General features: G+C 36.4%; 1 long non-coding RNA gene across 1 annotated transcript in view, besides 2 other annotated features; it reads right to left on the bottom strand.

Annotated features, from left to right (window-relative positions):
* The window catches only part of LOC105377992 (uncharacterized), a 61,454-nt gene extending 44,721 nt beyond the window's left edge, over positions 1-16,733 (bottom strand). Inside the window, exon 1 of the long non-coding RNA XR_001743836.2 lies at positions 15,822-16,733. This is a non-coding gene — a long non-coding RNA (uncharacterized LOC105377992). The remainder of the gene's footprint in view (positions 1-15,821) is intronic.
* Positions 2,294-2,930: an enhancer, noted in NCBI's record as "H3K27ac-H3K4me1 hESC enhancer chr6:126995323-126995959 (GRCh37/hg19 assembly coordinates)". NCBI's record gives its function as "activates a minimal SCP1, AML or CMV promoter by ChIP-STARR-seq in primed H9 embryonic stem cells {active_cell/tissue: H9 hESC(primed)}" and the evidence as "EXISTENCE:reporter gene assay evidence [ECO:0000049][PMID:30033119]".
* Positions 2,931-3,567: an enhancer, noted in NCBI's record as "H3K27ac-H3K4me1 hESC enhancer chr6:126994686-126995322 (GRCh37/hg19 assembly coordinates)". NCBI's record gives its function as "activates a minimal SCP1, AML or CMV promoter by ChIP-STARR-seq in primed H9 embryonic stem cells {active_cell/tissue: H9 hESC(primed)}" and the evidence as "EXISTENCE:reporter gene assay evidence [ECO:0000049][PMID:30033119]".
* Positions 16,734-24,622: the final 7,889 nt, after the last annotated feature.

Below are 24,622 nucleotides of genomic sequence, written 5' to 3'. Positions count from 1 at the left end.
TTTTGGTTGTGTCTCTGCCCGGCTTTGGTATCAGGATGATGCTGGCCTCATAAAATGAGTTAGGGAGGATTCCCTCTTTTTCTATTGATTGGAATAATTTCAGAAGGAATTATTCTCCTTGTACCTCTGGTAGAATTCGGCTGTGAATCCTTCTGGTCCTGGACTCTTTTTGATTGGTAAGCTATTGATTATTGCCACAATTTCAGATCCTGTTATTGGTCCATTCAGAGATTCAACTTCTTCCTGGTTTAGTCTTGGGAGAGTGTATGTGTCGAGGAATTTATCCATTTCTTCTAGATTTTCTAATTTGCGTAGAGGTGTTTATAGTATTCTCTGATGGTAGTTTGTATTTCTGTGGGATCGGTGGTGATATCCCCTTTATCATTTTTTATTGCGTCTATTTGATTCTTCTCTCTTTCCTTCTTTATTAGTGTTGGTAGTGGTCTATCAATTTTGTTGATCCTTTCAAAAAACCAGCTCCTGGATTCATTAATTTTTTGAAGGTTTCTTTGTGTCTCTATTTCCTTCAGTTCTGCTCTGATTTTAGTTATTTCTTGCCTTCTGCTAGCTTTTGAATGTGTTTGCTCTTACTTTTCTAGTTCTTTTAATTGTGATGTTAGGGTGTCAATTTTGGATCTTTCCCGCTTTCTCTTGTGGGCATTTAGTGCTATAAATTTCCCTCTACACACTGCTTTGAATGCATCCCACAGATTCTGGTATGTTGTGTCTTTGTTCTCATTGGTTTCAAGGAACATCTTTATCTCTGTCTTCATTTCATTATGTACCCAGTAGTCATTCAGGAGCAGGTTGTTCAGTTTCCATGTAGTTGAGCGGTTTTGAGTGAGATTCTTAATCCTGAGTTCTAGTTTGATTGCACTGTGGTCTGAGAGACAGTTTGTTATCATTTCTGTTCTTTTCCATTTGCTGAGGAGAGCTTTACTTCCAAGTATGTGGTCAATTTTGGAATAGGTGTGGTGTGGTGCTGAAAAAAATATATATTCTGTTGATTTGGGGTGGAGAGTTCTGTAGATGTCTATTAGGTCCACTTGGTGCAGAGCTGAGTACAAATCCTGGGTATCCTTGTTGACTTTCTGTCTTGTTGATCTGTCTAATTTTGACATTGGGGTGTTAAAGTCTCCCATTATTAATGTGTGGGAGCCTAAGTCTCTTTGTAGGTCACTCAGGACTTGCTTTATGAATCTGGGTGCTCCTGTATTGGGTGCATATACATTTAGGATGGTTAGCTCTTCTTGTTGAATTGATCCCTTTACCATTATGTAATGGCCTTCTTTGTCTCTTTTGATCTTTGTTGGTTTAAAGTCTGTTTTATCAGAGACTAGGATTGCAACCCCTGCCTTTTTTTGTTTTCCATTTGCTTGGTAGATCTTCCTCCATCCTTTTATTTTGAGCCTATGTGTGTCTCTGCACGTGAGATGGGTTTCCTGAATACAGCACACTGATGGATCTTGACTCTTTATCCAATTTGCCAGTCTGTGTCTTTTAATAGGAGCATTTAGTCCATTTACATTTAAAGTTAATATTGTTATGTGTGACTTTGATCCTGTCATTATGATGTTAGCTGGTTATTTTGCTCGTTAGTTGATGCAGTTTCTTCATAGTCTCGATGGTCTTTACAATTTGGCATGGTTTTGCAGTGGCTGGTACTGGTTGTTCCTTTCCATGTTTAGCACTTCCTTCAGGAGCTCTTTTAGGGCAGGCCTGGTGGTGACAAAATCTCTCAGCATTTGCTTGTCTGTAAAGTATTTTATTTCTCCTTCACTTATGAGGCTTAATTTGGCTGGATATGAAATTCTGGGTTGAAAATTCTTTTCTTTAAGCATGTTGAATATTGGCCCCCACTCTCTTCTGGCTTGTAGAGTTTCTGCTGAGAGATCCGCTGTTAGTCTGATGGGCTTCCCTTTGAGGGTAACCCGACCTTTCTCTCTGGCTGCCCTTAACATATTTTCCTTCATTTCAACTTTGGTGAATCTGACAATCATGTGTCTTGGAGTTGCTCTTCTCGAGGAGTATCTTTGTGGCGTTCTCTGTATTTCCTGAATCTGAATGTTGGCCTGCCTTGCTAGATTGGGGAAGTTCTCCTGGATAATATCCTGCAGATAGTTTTCCAACTTGGGTCCATTCTCCCCGTCACTTTCAGGTACACCAATCAGACGTAGATTTGGTCTTTTCACATAGTCCCATATTTCTTGGAGGCTTTGCTCATTTCTTTTTATTCTTTTTTCTCTAAACTTCCCTTCTCGTTTCATTTCATTCATTTCATCTTCCTTTGCTGATACCCTTTCTTCCAGTTGATTGCATCAGCTCCTGAGGCTTCTGCATTCTTCACGTAGTTCTTGAGCCTTGGTTTTCAGCTCCATCAGCTCCTTTAAGCACTTCTCTGTATTGGTTATTCTAGTTATACATTCTTCTAAATTTTTTTCGAAGTTTTCAACTGCTTTGCCTTTGGTTTGAATGTCCTCCCTTAGCTCGGAGTAATTTGATCGTCTGAAGCCTTCTTCTCTCAGCTCGTCAAAGTCATTCTCTGTCCAGCTTTGTTCCGTTGCTGGTGAGGAACTGCGTTCCTTTGGAGGAGGAGAGGCGCTCTTCTTTTTAGAGTTTCCAGTTTTTCTGCTCTGTTTTTTCCCCATCTTTGTGGCTTTATCTACTTTTGGTCTTTGATGATGGTGATGTACAGATGGGTTTTTGGTGTGGATGTCCTTTCTGTTTGTTAGTTTTCCTGCTAACAGACAGGACCCTCAGCTGCAGGTCTGTTGGAGTACCCGGCCGTGTGAGGTGTCAGTCTGCCCCTGCTGGGGGGTGCCTCCCAGTTAGGCTGCTCGGGGATCAGGGGTCAGGGACCCACTTGAGGAGGCAGTCTGCCCGTTCTCAGATCTCCAGCTGCGTGCTGGGAGAACCACTGCTCTCTTCAAAGCTGTCAGACAGGGAAATTTAAGTCTGCAGAGGTTACTGCTGTCTTTTTGTTTGTCTGTGCCCTGCCCCCAGAGGTGGAGCCTACAGAGGCAGGCAGACCTCCTTGAGCTGTGGTGGGCTGCACCCAGTTCGAGATTCCCGGCTGCTTTGTTTACCTAAGCAAGCCTGGGCAATAGCGGGCGCCCCTCCCCCAGCCTCGCTGCTGCCTTGCAGTTTGATCTCAGACTGCTGTGCTAGCAATCAGTGAGAGTCCGTGGGTGTAGGACCCTCCAAGCCAGGTGCGGGATATAATCTCCTGTTGCGCCATTTTTTAAGCCGGTCGGAAAAGCGCAGTATTCGGGTGGGAGTGACCCGATTTTCCAGGTGCTGTCTGTCAGTCACCCCCTTCTTTGACTAGGAAAGGGAACTCCCTGACCCCTTGCACTTCCCGAGTGAGGCAATGCCTCGCCCTGCTTTGGCTTGCACACGGTGCATGCACCCACTGACCTGCACCCACTGTCTGGCACTCCCTAGTGAGATGAACCCAGTACCTCAGATGGAAATGCAGAAATCACCCATCTTCTGTGTCGCTCACGCTGGGAGCTGTAGACCAGGGCTGTTCCTATTCGGCCATCTTGGCTCCTCCTTGTTATATGTCTTTAATCTCTTCTAAGCTATAAATTTCTTAGCCTTTCTTGGTCTTTCCTGAAATGACTTTTTTTTTAAAGGGTAAGTGCCAGATGTGTTTTGTAGAAAGTCCCTCAATTTGGATTGTCTGCTAATTTCTTCATGATAAGATTTAGTTTATGACTATTCTTGCAAGAATACTATTATCTCTCTCCCCATATATATATAGATATATACTATACAATATATGTACTATACTATACAATATATGTGCTGTGTCCTTCTTAGCATATTATTTCAAAAGGCACACAATATTTATTTGCTCTGCTGATGATAACTTTAATCATTTTGTTAAGATGGAGTCTGTCAGATATTTTCATTGTACAATAATTTTCCCCTTGTAACTACTAAACAATATGTGGGGAGATACTTTGGAAATGTATAAATACCCTACTGCTCAAACTTATCCAATGATTTTATCCCAGCAGTGTTGGTCTGCCCCTGGTTTCTCAACTTTTACCTACAATCAGAGTTGGTTAGTGAAAAGAGGCTATAGATCCTCTGTGCCAATATACCATACTCTCTAGGCTTTTGTTTCTTGCCTTTTCTGTTTTCAGGTCTTTGTTTCCTAATTACTGAGACTTTAATAGGTTTCACTTTCAATTTCAAAAGCTTTTAGTTTAGATTTCAGCTTCTTACACAGTCATAGAATATAGCAAATGTCTTTTATGGAAAATGGCTGTGTATCTACGGCCCTCAAGCCCTCAATCTATCTTTCTATTCCCAAGTGACTGCTAAAGTCTACATTGGTTTCTACATCTTTCAGCTGCTGCTCTCTGTCTGGGCCAAGCCACAAACTTCAGCTCACATCAATAATTGGCAAATTCCTCCATGTAAAAAAAAATTGCTATTTATCTACTCACCACTGAATGTTTCTCCTCTCTGTAATTTAGGCCCATTCAGTCCTCATAGCTTCTAAACCTATATGATGCCTTTTCAAAAGTATTTTTGTAATTTTTTTTCTTAGCTATAAACTTTGTATGTGTAGGCTTTATGTAACCTTTTAAATTCTACTCAGAAGTCCAAGGAAAATAAATTCTTATTTTCATCTGATAGCTCCAATATTATTGGCATCTCCTGTGATTCTGTTTCTATTGGGTATTTTTCCCCTTTGCTTTTTTGTCACGTATTCTGTCTCCGTATATGCCTGGTAATTTTTTGACTGAATCACAGACTTTTAAAATAAAAAATTGTGAAGGTAATTTGAAGTTCTCAAGATGTTATTGTCTTGAAGAGAGGATTTATTTTGTTTTAGGCAGATAAGCTAAAGGAACATCACCTTAATCCAACTTGGAACTGAACTGTCTCTAACTAGGTTTCATTCTTTTTTCTTTCTTTCTTTTTTTTTTTTTTTTTTGAAACTGAGTCTCACTCTGTTGCCCAGGCTGGAGTGCAGTGGCACAATTTTGGCCCACTGCAATCCCCGCTTCCCAAGTTCAAGTGATTCTCATGCCTCGGCCTCCTGAGTAGCAGGGATTACAGGTGTGTGCCAGCACACCCAGCTAATTTTTGTATTTTTAGTAGAGATAAAGTTTTGTCACGTTCCCCAGGTTGGTCTCGAACTCTTGGCCTTAAGTGATCCACCTGGCTCGGCCTCCCAAAGTGCTGGGATTACAGGTGTGAGCCACTGCACCCGGCCAGTTTCATTCTTTATGATGACTGATCTATTTGGGGTTCTCCCTTACCCCTAGAGTGCAGCCCATTAAAAGTCTCATCTGAAAGCCTGAGTTGTATGTCAGACCCTTTTGGTTTCCATATTCTGAAATGACTGCTGGAAACTTTGTTCAGTTTCTCAGCCTCTCAGCTGCTGCTTCTAAACTGACCAAAGTCAAGTAGAAAAGTGGTGCAGAATATTGGCTTTTCTCTCTTTGTCACCCTTCTCTCTAGTATCTTCAATGCTCTCTCAGGTCTCTATGCTTAGCTCTCCAGGGTCTTAAAACAGACCAAACAGATTATCTGTGTGTGTTTCCTACTTTTGCAGTTGTTCTCAAATCAAGGGTTGTTCTGCAACAAGTTGTGTTGCCTTTTCAGATACCATAAAATACTTGCTTTTGTTTTTGTTTTTCATTTTCCTAGTATATGTTATATATACACATATATACATTCTATATACTTCTTTTAGGTATTAGATGTGTCTTGTATACACAGAACTGAGTTAGGTTTTGATTTGCAACCCAATATGAAAATACTTTTCTTTTAATAAATCTTTTTTCTTTTAAGTCATTTTTATTTATTAATATGGCATATATATGTATATCCAGTCTTAGTTCTGACTGTATTTTACGTTTTGTTGTGTTTTCTGTTTTTAAGCTGTTAAGTCTTTTGGTATTTAGTCTTTTTCATTTGTTTGCTGTTTATATATGTAATCATTAAGATAACTTTTTGGCCAGGCATTGTGGCTCACACCTGTAATACCAGCACTTTGGTAGACTGAAGTGGGCAAATCACCTGAGATCAGGAGTTCTAGACCAGCCTGGCCAACATGGTGAAACCCTGTCTCTACTAAAAATGCAAAAATTAGCCAGGCATGGTGGCACATGCCTGTAATCCCAGCTACTCAGGAGGCTGAGTCAGGAGAATCACTTGAACCCAGGAGGCGGACGTTGCAGTGAGCTGGAATCATGCCATTGCACTCTAGCCTGGGCAATAAGAGTGAAACTCTGTCTCAAAAAAAAAAAAGATAATTTTTTAATATTTTTATTCTAATGATTATTTTTAATATTGTATATCTTATTTGCAGCCCTGTATTTTAAACACTTTATCCATAATTCTTTATCACAATCACTTTAACATTACCATAATTCCTGGATTTTTTGGTCACTCAAATTTAGTTGATATATTTTCTTTCTTATTATTTACTTTTCTATGGTTACATGAACTTATCCTTTTATTCCTTGATTTATTTTAGTTTGAAATGAAATAATTTGGTCCCTTCTGTTTACATGAAGTAAACAGGAAATTTTTCTAAGCTCTACTTTTAAGTTGTGAGGCTAATGTATAAATTATGAAGGCATGTCTCATTTACATTCTCATCTGTAACCCTAGTCTCTACAGTTAATATATGTCAAGAATTTAGAACAGTGCCTAGTACAAAATAGATAGTATATAAATTTTTTGCTACGTATGTTAGATTTAGTTAAACATTTAAATGTATACAGTACTCAGTCATTTTTTGTGGTTCCTTCTTTCATCTCTTTGTGAGCCAAACTTGACACTGGTAGTTTTCTCAAAAATTCTCAAGGGAATTTTTGCATGTAAAAATTGTTTAGTTTTTTTTACAAGTTGAAGTATAGTTTGGCTGGATATAAAATTCTTGAGTGACATCTTCCAGTATTGAATTTCTTAAATGTTATTCAATTGAATAGCAGCCAATGTTGCTGTAGAGGAAATCAGGGCCAGGCTGACACATTACCTATTATAGGTTATTATTTATTTTACTGCTTCATGAAGCATTCTTTCTTTACCCTTAAAGTCCAATGATGTCTTAATATTAACCATTCTGGATTATTTTTTACATTCATTGTGGATTTGTTATATTTAGCTCAAGTATTGTTTTAGTTCTAAAAATGTATGTCTTTAATTATAATTATAATTATAATTATGGGTTCTCTTTCTAAATTTTAGGATTTTAGAGTTTTTTAAATGGGGGATTCCAATTATGAAGGGCCTGAATCCCCTTATCTGCCTTCTATGTTTATCATATTTTCCCTAATATTTTTTCTCTTTATTTTTCTGTCATTCATGTAGCTCTACCTCACTGTTTATTTGTAAAGAATATTAAAAATATCCATTAAGACAGCAAATGTTGTATAATTAAAAATATATATAATAGACTTTGTAATCATATTTATAGCCAAAGTTCTGTATTTGCAAACTGATATTTACAATGTCTTCCACTCAAGTCCTGATGGAATAAACCCTGTAGAACCTCAGGAATACTAGGTGAATACTACATTTAGTAAGTCAAAAAGGTGACATTTAATTTCACCTAAATTATGTGAATGCAGGAAGTAAAATCTAAAGAAGCCTATAAATTTATCATTTCCAACTCATGCAGCAATTTTGAGTCTATTTATGGAGCTCTCGATATGTGACACAAAAGGAACTATCTACTGCAATTTATTTCATAGGAAAAAAATTCTGTTATTCAAAGAGATTAGGTAGCCTTTTCAAGATTCTACCAAAAAAAATCTTTCTCATAGTTTTCTAATATTGGCTATGAAAAAAACAATATCTGATTTTGTTTCAGCATTTCTACTGTGATATTTATTTTTCCTCTGGTCTTTAAGTTCACTAACACAGATTGTGAAGAAAAAAAAGATGAATTCTACAAATCATATTTCATTGCCTTGGGACTTTAAAAGCCCACTCTGGGTACTCATTTTCAAATTCAACTTTAAATGCATTATGATCCAAATAAAAGTGAGATCCTGACAACTTTGATCACTAACATAGGCAGTAACTTCACTTAGAAAAGATACTCTGTGCCAGCTTGTTTAGGTGCCAACAAAAATATTGAAGAGAAACTCTTCAGCACAGGGTTTGAAAGTTATTGCCACCTAATGTGTAAAAATAAAAATAACCATCCTTAGGATTATTGATACCATATGCAAAGTAACTTGTTCAAATATCTATAATATACAATAATTATTGTAAGTTTACAGATTCATAACTAAATCCCAGAGATAAAATGAACATTTTTTAAGGTCACTCTTTTAGTCCATTCTCACACTGCTACAAAGAACTGCCCAACACTGTGTAATTTATAAAGGAAAGAGGTATAAATAATTCACAGTTCCACATGGCTGGGGAGGCCTCAGGAAACTTACAATCATAGTGGAAGGCACATCTTCACAAGGCAGCAGGAGAGAAAATGAGTGCAAGCAGGGGAAATGCCAGATACTTATAAAACTAGCAGATCTTGTGAGAACTCACTCACCATCACAAGAACAGCATGAAGGAAACCACCTCCATGATTCAATTACCTCCACCTGGTCCTGTCTTTTACATATGGAGATTATTACAATTCAAGGTGAGATTTGGGTGAGGACACAGAGCCAAACCCTATCAGTCACCTAGTGGGAGGTAGAACTAAGATTTGAAGCCTTCTCTCTCCACTCTACCTCTGAGTTAAACATTCTCTTTCTGGGAGTTTATCTTTTCAGATGACATGTTGCAGGTTTTAGAATCCACTCATCAATCTGATTATTCTTTCTGAACATGTTCACAATTGTCCATGCCCCCTTCTAAAACATAACACCTAGAAATTATCAAAACACTGTAGTTGAATTGTCAGTGCCAAGTACAAAGTAGATCATTTCTAGTTCTAACTATTAACTGGGAATAATGAGAAATTGCTGTATCTTGGCTGAACTCAAGTACCAAGAAGAGAGAGAGAAAAAAAAAACTTAAAAAAAACTTAGAATAAATATCTCCTTTCAGTTGGGTCATAATATTCTACTTCTGACAGAAGGTAGTCCAAAATAACCACCACTTTTACTGAGTTGTGAAGACATAAATATGTTAAATATGTTGGTTATTCTGCAAGAGGGCACTAATGCTGAACCTAGGAAGTTCATAGGACAGGTCACCATGGACAGTTCTTTTTCATAAATTTACAAACAAATTTGTTACTTTTATTAGGGACAGTGGAATATTTGCTGCCTCCTACTTGTTAAGCACAATTGCACTATTGAATCTTAACTGCAGCCCTTAGAGTTACAAGTTATTGTGCCCATTCTATATATGTGAACTGAGGGACAGTAGAGTGTACTAGCATTCATTTATTTACCTTTACAACAGAGAATAGAGAGACATGTCCATGTTCAGATAGGTAGAAAGTTTCAGGGCTCAGGTCCCAACTTACGTCTGAGGGACCATTAAAGAGTCCATGTGTATTTATCCATGTCAGATTGCCCCACAAAGTATGGTAGGCAGTCTCTCAGGTGATCCTCAAAGATTCTTTATCTACTGGTATTTGTCCCTTTGGGCCCTTGTGTAATACCTTGTGTGTTGGTTTAATGCCCTTCAAATGAATGGAAAATGGTAAAAGGATGTAATGTCACTTCCAAAATAAGGGAACAAAGAGAAGCTGTCTCCCATGTGTGGTACTCCCTCTCTTTCTCTTTTACCCACTCACTCTGAGGAAAGCCACTTGCCATATTGGAAGCTGTACTACGCAAAGGCCCACACGGCAAGGAGCTGATGTCTCAGTCAAGAGCCAGAAGGACTGGAGGCTGGTCAGCAGCCATATGAGTGAGCCTGAAAGCAGATTGTCTCTCATAGGAGCCTCGAAATGACTATAGTCCCAGCCAACACTTTAATTGCCACTGTGAGAGAGCCTGAGCTAGAGATACCCAGTTTAGATATATCCTGATTCTTGAATCACTGGAATTGTGAGATAATAGATGTTTGTTTTTTCAAGCTACTGTTTTGGGGTGATTTGTTTCACACCAATATGCAAGTAATACATTACACTAAAGCAAAGCGATTCTGTGGGAAAGAATTACATGAAATCAACCAGATCAGTACCTGTCTCCTACCAGGTACTAGGTGTGCTCTGGACATTGTTCCTATTTTGTGCTCATTCTACAGCCAACCACATCCCTAATGAAGTTGATGCCCACTCTATATATGCATTATGTTGTACTGGATCCAAAACTTCTTTTTTCTGAAACACTGTAAAAGGGTGCACTTCTCTTAGCTTTCCTTGTTGGTGTTGTTCACAACAATGACTATTAAAATGTAAATATGTAGTCAGAATAACTATGGATTTTTTGATGTCTATTTTATAGAAAAAAACGAAACTAGCTTACAAGATTTTTGAAGGCTGGAGTCATAATTTTTATTCACCAATATATTTCTGATACAGCTCATATGGTATACATAAATGAGCATTTATATCAAATGCCTTCTTATTGGCAACTTAATTATATTTAGGATTAAAATTAATAAATATAAGCCACAGTCCAATTTTAGTTTCCTTGCCTCCAGGAAGCAACATGTTTAAGAAATTATCACACCCAGTTTGGCCAAAAGAATCTTTTCATGATTGTTCATGTGTTCTTGCCTCCACCAAAGTTGGAGTCCCCTCTAAATGTTCATGCACTAATACATAATCCTCACATAGTGTGTATAACTCTTTTTACAAACAATAAGCAAAATAACAATAGACTACATTTAGAGTCCAATTGAAACTTAATAAAATATTATCATTAGCTATAAGGGCAAATATTTTGAGCAGGCAAATGAGTTTGCTAGCTAAAATTTTATTACATAGAGAACTATTCATTGTAATGTCTGAGATAAGATGTTAATACATTATGCAGGATTGTTAAAAATGCATAAAAACTCAGGAAATTTTAACTGAGAATACCTTTCTCCTAGGGAATAAAAGGTTGACATAATTTCAATATAACAGCAACATTTAGAGAAGTTTATTTTTCAAGAATAATAATAAGCATTATACATAAGCATGTTCTCCATTAAATTGTAGTTAGTTCTAGCCTTTTCTCATTGTGGCACATACTGTTGTTTGTATCCCGATGCAACAGCCATCTTGGCTTTATAGCTTATATTCTCAATTTTTTCTTAACTGCCTTTAGTTCGCTGCAGTCCCCAGATTAAAGAAAGGACTGTGAACATATTGTATACATCTAACTATTTCTGGGAACGTGTGAGTAGAGACAAAGCTATGAATTTTTAAAATAAAATCATGATGCAAATCTATGGAAGGAAGACAAGAAAGTGCATTCCTAATGCTTAGCAAATCAAAATGCAAGACTTCCTAAGATATTTTGGGCTTAATTCCTTACCACAAGTTAGGAACTGTATGAAAAATACTTCACATGTTTTCTATAGCAGAGATGAAGCTGTAGTGGCAATGTTAATGTTTCATGAATTTGGTGGGCTTCCATGGCTCAACTTTAACAGATCTTTGCCTAACAGAAAAGCCCGAAGTCCCATCTCATTGATCCAATAAGTTCCAGGCATCTGATACTGTCAGTAATTTCTTGCTTGTTAGCACTGGAAACAATTTTTTACTGGGCCTTTCTTACAACTAGGTGTGATGAGCTGCCTCTGTTCAGACCAAAAGTTTGCAAGGAGAAAAACTGAACAACTACTAGTGAATGTCCTTAGTTTAATCCCCCAAATGTAAATAACATACCCTAGTCTATGAATACTGCCCCAAAATTCAACACTACTGTTTTCCAGTGAGCCTTAATGGTAAACTATTCCAATATGAGTGCTGCCTCTGATTGCTCACTTTTATCTGTCACAACACACTTTATGATTGCCTTTTTAGAGGCCTAAAAGATAGTGAGTCACCAAAACTACACACCTACTGGGTGGATCTGAATTAATATTTACTTCAATTATCTGGGAGCATGGCTTCCATATTACAATCAAAGACTTGAACATAATAGCCTGGGAAAATTCTTCAACATGTGAAAAGAAAAATAGAAACTTAAAAAATATAATTTAAGGCTTCTTTGGGGAATAAAATTTGAACTGAAGTCTAGTCAGACTCCATAGCACCAAGTGAAAGTTTTCTTATTTTAGTAATATTCAACTTGGAAAAATTAACATGATTTTCCAGGGCTTTTTAAGATATTTAAACAGTAATAGTTTATGACATAGTATAAATATAGAGATAACTAAATAATAGTTTCAGTCTAATTTTGCTGGCAGTTTCTTCCGAAATTTCAAAGTGTTCTTAGAGAAACCCACATTATGTTTTCCTTTTACAATATCTAAGGATTAAATATATACTGATGGTTCTGTTTATTAAGATTTTAAATTGTTGTCTTTAATATAATTTCTATAAATATCTGACTTCATACTTCTATTTGCATAAAATTGGACCTGGTTTTATTCTTATTTTTTCCCTTATTTTTTCATGAATCTGGAAATTATGCAACTGCCTTGTCCCAGGCAGCAAATCCATTTGCCCTCTGGTAAAGACTGTGGCACTGCATATGGGACTACTGAGCTAGCCTCTGTGTCTCCTGATACTATTCATCATAGAGTTTTGTGCCAGTTTTAGTCTCCTAGGCCTTTTCAGTTTACATTCCTTATTCAAAGAGATGCCAAGAAACCAGCAAGAAAGCATTTATTAAATTGGACAGGGAGACATTACAGAAATGAAGGCGCTGGATAGATGAGTATTTATCTTTACTAGGCCCCAGCAGCAAGGATTATTCAGATGGCCAGTTATTGCTTGGTTCAGTGTTCACCCTACTTTCTTCTGCCTTTAGTTCGCTGCAGCCCCCAGATTAAAGAAAGAACTGTGAACATATTATACACATCTAACCATTTCTGGGAACACGTGAGTAGAGACAAAGCTATGAATTTTTAAAATAGAATCATAATACAAACCTATGGAAGGAAGACAAGAAAGTGTATTCCTAATGCTCAGCAAATCAAAATCCAAGACTTCCTAAGACATTTTGGGCTTAATTCCTTACCACAAGTTTAGGAACTGTATGAAAAATACTTTACATGTTTTCTATAGCAGAGATGAAGCTGTAGTGGCAATGTTAATGTTTCATGGATTTGGTGGGCTTCCATGGCTCAACTTTAGCAGGTCTTTGCCTAACAGAAAAGCCGGAAGTCCCATCTCATTGATCCAGTAAGTTCCAGGCATCTGATGCTGTCAGTAATTTCTTGCTTGTTAGCACCGAAAACAAAGTCGTATTTTGTAAAATTAGAAATTACAAATCTGCATATCTTCAGCATCACTTTTAGCCACAGATATACAAAGACGCCTGCATTCGGAAAGCAAATACTTCCTGGCCTTTGGGAAGTGCTTTGACATAATTTCTCCCTTTTCAGTCCAAGCACATTTGCTGTCAGGAAAGCTAAGGTTAAGCAGTTCTGACAAGTAAATATATGGAGTCAGGTAAAGAATGCTGCTTTCTATCCTTTGACTTCTGATATATCTCCTCGGGCCACTAGGGAGAGATGTTTGATTTTTAAAAATGCTTTGGTTGGTAATTTTGAGATTTCTTTGCAATGTTTACTCTCAATCTCATTGCTGTAGTCACGTAATTTGCAAACCTTGTATACTTTGGCTTCAGGAAACTTGAGAGAAAATATCTTTAATTGGTACTGGCAGAAATTTCTAGCATGAGATTTCTCTAGTGTCAAAATTAAGTATTTTCCAGGAACTCACAACTAGATTGAAAGCTCATGGAAGACAAGGACTGAATCTAATATAATCTTGTGTTGTCCAAAATGCTTATTATGTGCCTAGGTTCATTAGTTACCCATGAAATATGAGTCATATAAGAGGAAATTTATTGTTATCAGATTATAACCAGAGCTTTTTTTTGGCAAAAAAAGGCAAAAAATGCATCTTATGTTGTTTATTACTTGAACATTCCAACTCAGAATTAGTTCATCAATTAATTTTCCATTCATTCAATAAAAATGCATGGACTTCCTCTGATGTAAAAACTAAACTAAACAAACAAAACTAAATTTAAAGTGTATTAATTTAGGGAAGTGCAGTTTAAAGAAGTATAAGATACAGCCTCACTCCACAGACTTTTAAATTCTGTTAAAAGATGATTATTTGGGAAAAATAGAAATCAGACAAATACCTGAAGAAGTGCCTTGGGTTCTATAAAACATTCTACTGGAAAAGATAAATGACAGAATACACACAAATCTCCTACATCTAGATGATATAGGAATATAAAAGCATATCAATGGCAGAATGTAAAAGATTGGATTTAGAACCAAATTCCAATTGGAGTTGATTAGTTCTGTTTTGGGCCTGATTTAGATGACATCATTTCATGTGTAGAAGTAGGGGTCAGTTTTGACTTACACCCAGATCTACAGTAGTTAAAACCTAAGAAAAGAAAGACTAGATGTGTATAACTAGGAAAATGGCTCCTCATGGAAGACAGAGATGCTGTGGTTAAGTTTTTAGTAGGTAAACACCTTCATTTGTCTGAGGCTTGTGAGCTCCACTGACTCTACCCCACACATTGCTCCTGAAGATGACACATGTTCATGCACATCCTCAGAATACTGGAGACCAGAAGCAAGGAAAACTAGCTCTTTTTTCAAGGTTGTTGAACCCTGAGTTTAAGAATCTTTGGGTCAAGTAGCTAATTAATATCATCGGACCCAATTGTGAGGAAAAAGATATTGATTATAAAAAATAATAATTGGCTCCTTTCCCCTTCTTTCTTTTAGTGACTTTTATCTCATTCATAGTCCAATTGTTGCAGGCAGATAGGAAAAGCAGCCCTTTGTGAATGGGAAGGTAAAATATGATATGATATCGATGCATATAGGTTCAGATAAAGTAAAAGGTGGACAGAGAGAAGCATGCAAGTACAGAAACTTCTGTGTCTCCCAGCACACAGATCACTAATTCACTGCGAGAACACGATCAGCAATAGTGAGGATTCCCAGAAGAAATCACTTTCATTCCCACCATTCTTAATCCTTTTTTTAACCCCTCTATGAAAATACCCCAATCTACATTCCAAGATGCAAAATATTAGTATATTCATCAAAAATCCCCTCTTGCTTCATGCCATCACTCTGAGGATGGGAAAGTGAGCTCAGGGAAATGCTTATGAAATTCTTTGGAATGCAGCTAAATATAGGAAAACATGAGTTAACACTGCCCCATGTAAGTAGTAACTCACTGGGGAAAAAGAATGGTGTCTGAAACCACAGAGTATTTGATGATTCCTAAATTTGTCATTGAAATCATGAGATCCCAGGCCCTGACTTTTTGTAGGATCCCTATTATGAACATGAGGGTTAAAAATCTTTAATTTCCTCAAGTTACCAGGCAAGATTTTCCCTAAACTAGATGTAGTTTAATTAAATACTCATTTTTCAGAACCTTAAGTTAATGTCAGACACATATAGCAAGATAATATATAACACCACCAGAACTGGTGAAAAGAAAGAAACTTTTTGAAAAATATGTACTCTGCTAGGTATAAGATTTTTCATCTCCTTCCTCTTTCCTTTCTATAATCCATTATCATATAAAGTACCATAATGTGTGTGTGTGTGTATGTTTGTTTAACAAGGAAAACAAAAAAGTTCTCCTTATATTTTCACATTTAGATAAAAGTCTGCCTTCATGAGGGATGTTTTCTCTATTTCATATATATAAACAACCTGCATATTTCATTTCCTCAAAGAATTAAAATATTCATAAGAGTAGGTACTAAGTCAGTTCTACTTACTCTTCTGCACCCTGCATTGCATGTATATTGTGGCCATATGGTAACTAATTATGTAGTATATACGAGATCTAGAAGAGAAGGAGCTCATTTCAAAGCAGTTGGTGAGAGATAGAAGCACCCTATCAATGCTATAGAAGACGTCATAGAAGAAAGGAGAGCAGGCAGATCAGCCTGAAGAAGTGATTGTTAGACCACAGTAAAAGAGGGCATAGAAAACAGCAGTCAGAAAATAAGGAAAAAACAAAAAGGGCAGGGAATTTTATTTATAACTAAGAGAGAGGTTGTCATGGAGAATTTAGGTTTGGATTTATATGAAAGAGGGTTGGGCCTTCTGACTCCAGAGTGGATAAAATAAGGTCTGGAGGTGGAAGTAGATTGATGACTGAAAAACAGGCTTTGTGTTGGACAGCAGTGAAAAGAAGATTGATTAAGTAAAGAGACACCAGATAATGGATCATCATAATGCTAGGCTGAGCAGATTTAACTTGATATTACAAGAAATAGGAAATAATTGGCATAGCATATAGGAAGTGTGTTTTTTTTAAAGCATGTACTTTATAGATATACAGACTGATCAGCAACCAGTTCTGATATTTTTGGCTATCTTACCTGATTCTGGACAATTTCTTGAATTCCTCTGATGTTCAATTTTTTTCTTCCGTAAATAATATAATATCTGTACTGTAGTGTTGTAGGTATTAAATATGCTTACTTATGCAAATTGCCTGGTTTATTTTAACAAGTGCACAATGACTATTAGTTCATTCTTTCTTCCATTTGCATGTTGTTTTGGAAAGTGGAACATTAGCACAATTGACTAAATAGTCAATGAGGAATGTTAGAGATTAAGTTGAGTAATAAATTTAAAATAAATTTAGAAATATTCAGTAAATAAAAATGCAGAGAATGTAATTATTTTAATATGCTCATTGATTAATGAGCATTATTAATAATTTACCATTGTCTCTAAGACAGAACTTGATTGTAAATAACACAAGATAGCTCCTGTTCATTTCAACCTTAACAGTTCATTTATATGAATGCTGTTAACTGATCAGTATCCTTGCTTGTTTAGAAAAAAAATGACAATATTTGGATTCACAAATATTTTGAGTGCCATAAATTATCCTTTTCAATGACCCTTTTTGCACTCTTTTGAGTCCTAACAAATTTAGTCAAGAGAACTATTCCTCCTTTTAGCACAAACATTTCACCATTAAGAAGGTGACCTACTTTTAATAAATTTCAAAGTTATTGTTGGCTCTAAATTCTCTCTCTGAAACTGAATGAGTATTTGTCTGCATGCAAGTTCTGAAACCTAATATAGATTATAAAGTGGTCCAAATCTTTTAGCAATTCCTTTTGTACATCAAAATGGTGTCAAGAGTACTCAAAATATATTTCTAAACTTTTACGCTACCTTGTCATAACATAACCTTCTATTGTTATAATTTCATTTAGCTAGGAATGGAAATGATAGCAGAATTTAATTAATAAGAAATTGGATGGGCCATCTATATTACATGTAAGAACACTATTGTCAACAACTCCCATATTTTAGAAACCTCAGAGCACTGTGGAAAAGTAAACAAACAAGCAGGTTAATTCCACTAAATTAGAATCTTTTCTGGCATCGACTCAAATGAATTTACAATGAATATCTTTGTAAGAAAGTCCTGATTTTCAATTTATCTTTCAGTGGTGAATTAGTCTGTATTGTCTCTTGTTTTAAAAGAGTTGTTTGCATGTTGAAAGATAAATATTTAAATTTGGCACTGATGTCCTTTACAAACCCTTTGTTGGAGAATCTGATATAAACCTTCACTAAATGGTTATTGAAATACCTCTGGTCATCTCAATGCCCAGTTATCTGAATTAATCTGTGGAGTGTACATGACATAAGCTGACATAACCATATTCTTTCCACTACTTTATGGATGTAGTACACAGAAATTACATTAAGTTACTAGTGGGTGCCAGGCATAGAAGGTTATAGACCCATAAAAATCAAGACTCATGTGACCTCAGAGGAAGAGTGATCAAGATATGAGTGTCCTCAGTTCTTGAACAACATAACAATCCCTCATTACAGAAACTGTATAGACCTAGCTCCATTTTCTTCCATTTGAATTGCATGATGTTTCCTGGTTTTATTTTACAATAAATCCCATTTACTAAATGTAGTTTGAGAAGTCCTTTTTTTAGTCATATGACACCTGAGTTACATAAAGGTATTGAGTGTCACACAGATCTTCCATTTTTAATATCCTATAGTATGTTGCAGAATAAGTAAGGAGAATAGTAGGATCAAAATTTTATATAAAGTTATATGCATTGTTCCTAATCATCTCTGCCCATCTCTCTTATCTCCTTACCACCTGTCTTCTTCCTACACATAGACACACATACATATAGACACACACCATGGTTCTTGGAAATTCCCAGGGATATAAATTTGAAACAAGGTAGTATTGTTGTAAGGGTCATCAAAAAGTCAATACATATTAGGTCACTGTCATTCTCAACAAGATAAACACTGGAATCTTGAGAGAAATTGTAGGGATCATCAATCAATTTATTATATTCTAAAAAATACATGAAACTCCAATGTGCATTAAAATTTAGGAAGAACCTAGAAATCTTATGACTAGGTTAGTTCTAATCCCCAGAATGTCTCTAACCCATGCTCCAGCCTAGAAAATTAAGTGTATTGTGTGAGAGAAGCAAAGTAAGTAAAAGCTGTAAATCTCATAAGAATGGAAAAATGTCTACTTTAATTAACGGTTGTATACCCTGCACTGTGCACAGAACCTGTGACATGATTAGTTCTTCTTAAGTGTTTGTTGAGAAGTTAACTGAATGAGTGAATGGATGATTGGAAAAATTAGAAGTCAATTTTTTAATCTAAAATCAGTAAATTAAAGAAAAATTTATTGAGACTCCATAAAATAATAAGCAAGGCATACAACCTCCAGCCTCACATATTGCATATTATGAAGCACTCATAGACTAACATATTCTATATCATTAATTATGGCTACTCTAAAATCTTCCAGAGGTCTGGAGTTCCTAGTCTTCATCTTTTATCTCCAAACATGACTTAAACTATTAGAAGAATGTGTATCTTTCACCCATTTGGGAAGGAGGGCTTTGTTACTATATTAAAATCATAATCACAAGAAGTCTAGTGGTTACTGGAAACTATTGTGATTGCCTTCTAATAGGAACATTTCCAAACTTCTCCCTTAATGTGGTTGCAATTTTGAATACTTGATGTGAGAAAGTCAGTGTGGTAAAAGATACAAAATACTTAAATTTCTCTACTACAACAAAGACCTGGAGGAAAAGTCTTGAGTTGTGCAAACAATTCATCTTAGTTGTTATCACCACTTAAAAACATTTATACTAATGTAAAAACGCCAAGAAGAGATCGTTTTCCTCTGTCTTTTGAATGTAAAATATCAGAAGGAAATTTTGTTTGGCTGCCTCTTCAAAGAACAAATCACTTGTGTGTAAACAACACCAGTCCAACAGAGGGAGCTAAGTGCACACAGGGATTGAGGGAGAGGGTAAAGATTATTAGATTATAGTCAGACATATATTTTATTCCCTGAATTCCATCCTACTCCTCCCTTAGAAGGACCCATTGACCACAGTGGGGATAGAGAGTTGATTCCGAAGCCCACTGCCATGACTTATCTCATTTTTAAATCTCTTTTCCACTCCTCCTTTTGTTCTTACTTTTCCTTTAGCTTCTCCTGCTTTCTTGATGCAATTTCTTTCTCTCTCCTATTTTCGTTTCCTTCATGTCCTACATGCTAGCTCTGACAACGAATTTTATGACTATTCCACACAATGCAAATGGCATATAAAAACTTATAAAATCCTAACTAAAAAATATACAAATAAAAGATGTCGGGGGGATTCAAGGGGCTGAAAATAAACGGTACTCTAATTTGATTAAGGGAAAATAAATATACACTAGGATTTTAAAGAATATACTAAAATCACCATTCTACTTAAGCAAATCTAAAATGATTGATAATCAGAGGGGTCTTACTTAATAATATGCTACAGATCAAGAAAATATTCCAAAATAAACAAACATGAAAACCTTGTTTGTTTGAAAATCATGCTTTTGAGAAGAATGCTGTATTTCAAATTTCTTATATTTTTATCATCATTTAACCTTTAATAACATTGAAACCTGAGCTACGCCCATCAAAGTAGAGACGGCACCTATTCTATTTCTTGTATAATCCATATAAGAACAAACATGTCTTTTCAATACCGATTTTAGTAGAAGCTTACATATAAAATATAGGTATGTGCACAAAAGTATAATCTTGGCATCAAGGGAAATCCTGGATAATTATAAAGAAGACACAGCTATTAATGTTTATGTGTTAACTGGTATTTTTATCATCATATTACCTTAATTCATTCTTCTTCATCTTTTTGATTAGCTTTCTCCTATCTGATACACAGGTTCCGAATGATTTTCTTCCTTATTTGGAATGCCTTCTCTATCTTTTGTACTCAAATATGTCCATTTTTTAAAGTTCAAATTAAGTTTCATCTCTCATAGTTTCTGGAGTTGATTGAGAATTTGGCCATGCAGATACACAATTGGTAATCTAGAACTGCTAGAAATCATAAGGATATACTTATGTACTTCCATGGAAAACATTTTTTAACTGTTTGAAAGAAAGAGGGATTTTTTTTCATTGTCACTTGGTATGTAATCTTTAATTTTTTATTAGTACAAATTTATGGGATACACATGAAATTTTGTTACATGTATATAATCTAGAGTGATCTAGTCAGGGTATTTTGGGTGTTCACTTGAGTACAATACATTTTTGTTTAACTACAGTCACCCTACTCTATCAAACATTGAAATTTTTACTTTTATTTATCTGTAAATTTGTACTCTTTAATTAACTTCTATTTGTCCTTCCTCTCCCCTGATTCACCCTTCCCAGTCTCTGTTCTCTATCTTTCCACTCTCTACTTCCATGTGATCAGAATTTTTAGCTCCCACATATAAGTGAAAGCATGTGATAGTTGTCTTTTGTGCCTGGTTTATTTCACTTAAGAGAATGATCTCCAGTTTCATCCATGTTGATGCAAAAAACATTATTTTATTCGTTTTTATGGCCTAATAAAATTCCATTTTATATATATAATGGCCATAAAAAGGAATACATGCACGCACACACACACAAACCACATTTTCTTTATCCATCCATTCGTGGACACTTAAGTTGACAATGTATTGGTAAATCATTTTTCTCTAAGACATTGAAGCAGAAAAACAACGGAAAAAAATGGGGGACGTATGGTAGATTGGACTGCAGGAGTCATATAATGTTTAACAATAAACCTAAAGTTTCAGAGAAACTCTGAGGTTGTCTGTTCTGTTTTTCTCTGCTATTTGCAAAGGTTCAATAAACATTTGTTGAATGCAGAGTTTCTTTCACTTTTCTGTTGTTGTCTGTGGAAAGTTCTTTTCCTACTCCTTTTACAATAGCACTTTAGAGCCCCAGTGTATTAGTCTGTTTTCATGCTGCTGATAAAGACATACCTAAGACTGGGTGACTTATAAAGAAAAAGAGGTTTAATGGACTCATAGTTCCACAGGGCTGGGGAGGCCTCAAATGGGATACAGGCATTGGATAAATACACCCATTCCAAATGGGAGAAATGGGCCAAAACAATGGGGCGACAGGCCCCATGCAAGTCCAAAATCCAGTGGGGCAGTCAAATCTTAAAGCTCCAAAATAATCTCCTTTGACTGACTCCATGTCTCACATACAGGTCATGCTGATGCAAGAGGTGGGTTCACATGGTCTTGGGCAGCTCCACTCCTGTGGCTTTGCAGGGTACAGCCTCTCTCCCAACTGCTTTCACAGGGTGGCATTAGGTGTCTGCGGCTTTTCCAGGCACATGGTGCAAGCTATCAGTGGATCTACCATTCTGGGGACTGGAGGATGGTGGCACTCTTCTCACAGCTCCATTAGGCAGTACCTCAGTTGGGTCTCTGTGTAGGGGCTTTAATTCCACATTTTCCTTCGGCACTGCCCTAGCAGAGGTTCTCCATGAGGGCTCCACCTATGTAGAAAACTTCTGTCTGGACATCTAGGCATTTCCATACATTCTCTGAAATCTAGATGGAGGTTCCACTGCCTCAGTTCTTGACTTCTATGCATCCGCAGGCTCAACACCATCTGGAAGCTGCCAAGGCTTGAGGCTTGCACCCTCTGAAGCAATGGCCCAAACTGTTCCTTAGCCCTTTTTAGCCATGGCTGGAGTGGCCGGGACACAGGGGACCAAGTCCGTAGGCAGCACAGAGCAGAGGCGCCCTTGGGCCTGGCCCATGAAACCATTTTTTCCTCTTAGGCCTCCAGGACTGTGATGGGATGGGCTGACGAAAAGGTCTGTGACATGCCCTGGAGACACTTTCCTTATTGCCGTGGTGATTAAAATTTGGCTCCTTGTTACCTATGCAAATTTCTGCAACCAGCTTGAATTTCTCCTCAGAAAATGGGTTTTCCTTTTTTATTGTATCATCAGCCTGCAAATTTTCTGAACTTTCAAGCTCTGTTTTCCTTTTAAAACTGAATGCTTTCAATAGCACCTAAGTCACCTCTTGAATGCTTTGCTGCTTAGAAATTTCTTCTGCCATATACCCTAAATCATCTCCCTCAAGTTCACAGTTCCACATATCTCTAGGGCAAGGGCAAAATGCCACCAGCAAGAGTCTTACACCAGTTTCCAACAAGTTTCTCATCTCTATCTGAGACCACCTCAGCCTGGATTTCATTGTCCATATCATTATCAGCGTTTTTGTCAAAGCCATTCAACAAGTCTCTAGGGAGTTCCCAACTTTCCCACAATTTCCGTCTTCCTCTGAGCCCTCCACGCTGTTCCAAAATCTGCCTGTTACCTAGTTCCAAAGTCACGTCCATGTTTTCGGGTATCTTTTCAGCAGCACCCTACCCTACTGGTACCAATTTACTGTATTAGTCTGTTTTTACACTGCTGATAAAGACATACCCAAGACTGGGTGATTTATAAAGAAGGTGAGGTTTAATGACTCACAGTTCAACGTGGCTGGGGAGACCTCACAATCATGGTAGAAGATGAAAGGCATTTCTTACATGGCAGCAGGCAAGACAGAATGAGAACCAAGCGAAAGGGGTTTTCCCTCATAAAACCATCAGATCTAGTGAGACTTATTCACTACCACAACAACAGTATGGGAGAAACCACCCCCATGATTCAATTATCTCCCATTGGGTCCCTCCCACGACATGGAGGAATTATGGGAGATACAACTCAAGATGAGATTTGGGTGGGGATGCAGCCAAATCGTATCACACAAAATCTCTACAGAATTGTAGAATGCTACTACAAGAGGGGCAAAACTTATTGTATACTGCGTTATATGAGAAAAGGTTAGGAATTGCCTTATGTAATATCCTCATCAAAAGTTAGACCTTGAGTTAGGGATTTTATATTATGTGGAAGCACATGAAAATGTTATATTTGAAGGTCAAAACTGTAAATTAGCAGCAATTTTATGTAGGTCAACCCAATAGTTTTCTCTCACTTTTCATAATATCTAAAGTCTGACAGAAATTTTAATATAGGAAAATCAGTTTTGTCATCTCTCTGAATCTCTCACACACACTCTCAATTTCTCTCACTGTTTCTTTTTTGTCTCCCTCTCCTCTACTCCTTTATTTTACTTCAGTATTTTGAATTTTTCAGTTTCATCAATCAACCATCAGGCAAGCATTAATCGTGGGGTTTCATTTTCCACTCTAATATACTAATGTGCTGTCTATGATGGTGGAGCTCAAATCTCTGACATCTGCTGGCTCAACACTCTGGCTCACCCTTAGCTTAGTTTCAACGGCACCACAGTTGTTTTCAACTAAATCAAATTTGGATATACAGTCCTCTAGGATAACATCATAAATATTACCATTTTTGTACAATTAATACTAAATTATTGTTCATTAATATGATTCACATACTGAGGCAAGTGAAGGAATCATGGTATGACCCACAATGAATCTCTTTACCATAAGTTATTTGATTGTTTATCTACACATTTAATGTTAAAACAGATGATAACCTCTCAGTTCATTTCTCCATCCATAAAAAAATTCATTTGCTGACAAGCATTTTTGCAAGACATTTAATACTTTTAAATCCAAGAGAAATATTTTTCTATAGTTTTTTTTTTGCATTTACAGTACATTTGAAGAAGTCTTTCTTAAAGTCTGCATTTCTTTTCTATTCAACTCAGAGTTTTCAATTAAATAACATCATAAAATCTCAAATCATTATGATGCTACTATTATTTTCAGATTTTTATCAAAGTAATTACAGATTTATTAAAACTCTCATAGATTAACTATCCCTTGTGTATTAAGGTTTTAATTCATAAGCTTAAAAACAGCCTTACTGGAGGTTGCAGTAAGCCGAGATCACGCCACTGCACTCCAGCCTGGGTAGCAGATCCAGACTCCATCTCAAAAATACAAAAAAACAAAAAACAAAACAAAACAAAAACAGCCTTACATAATCATAAGCTTAAAAACAGCCTTACATAAATTAGGGAGTGAATTTAGGATGTTTGAGTTTGGGTCATAGTTCTAGAAAACTCCCCAAATTCTGTTATATACTTATTCTATATTATACTAATATATTTAGATAAGAAAAAATAAAATAATTTTTTACATATATGGAAATATAAATTGTGTACACATATGTAAATATAAATTACT

The sequence above is a fragment of the Homo sapiens genome, chromosome 6, assembly GCF_000001405.40.
Source record: "Homo sapiens chromosome 6, GRCh38.p14 Primary Assembly".
In the NCBI taxonomy this organism is placed as follows: Eukaryota; Metazoa; Chordata; class Mammalia; order Primates; family Hominidae; genus Homo; species Homo sapiens.
This window is presented reverse-complemented; position numbering and strand designations above follow the sequence as displayed.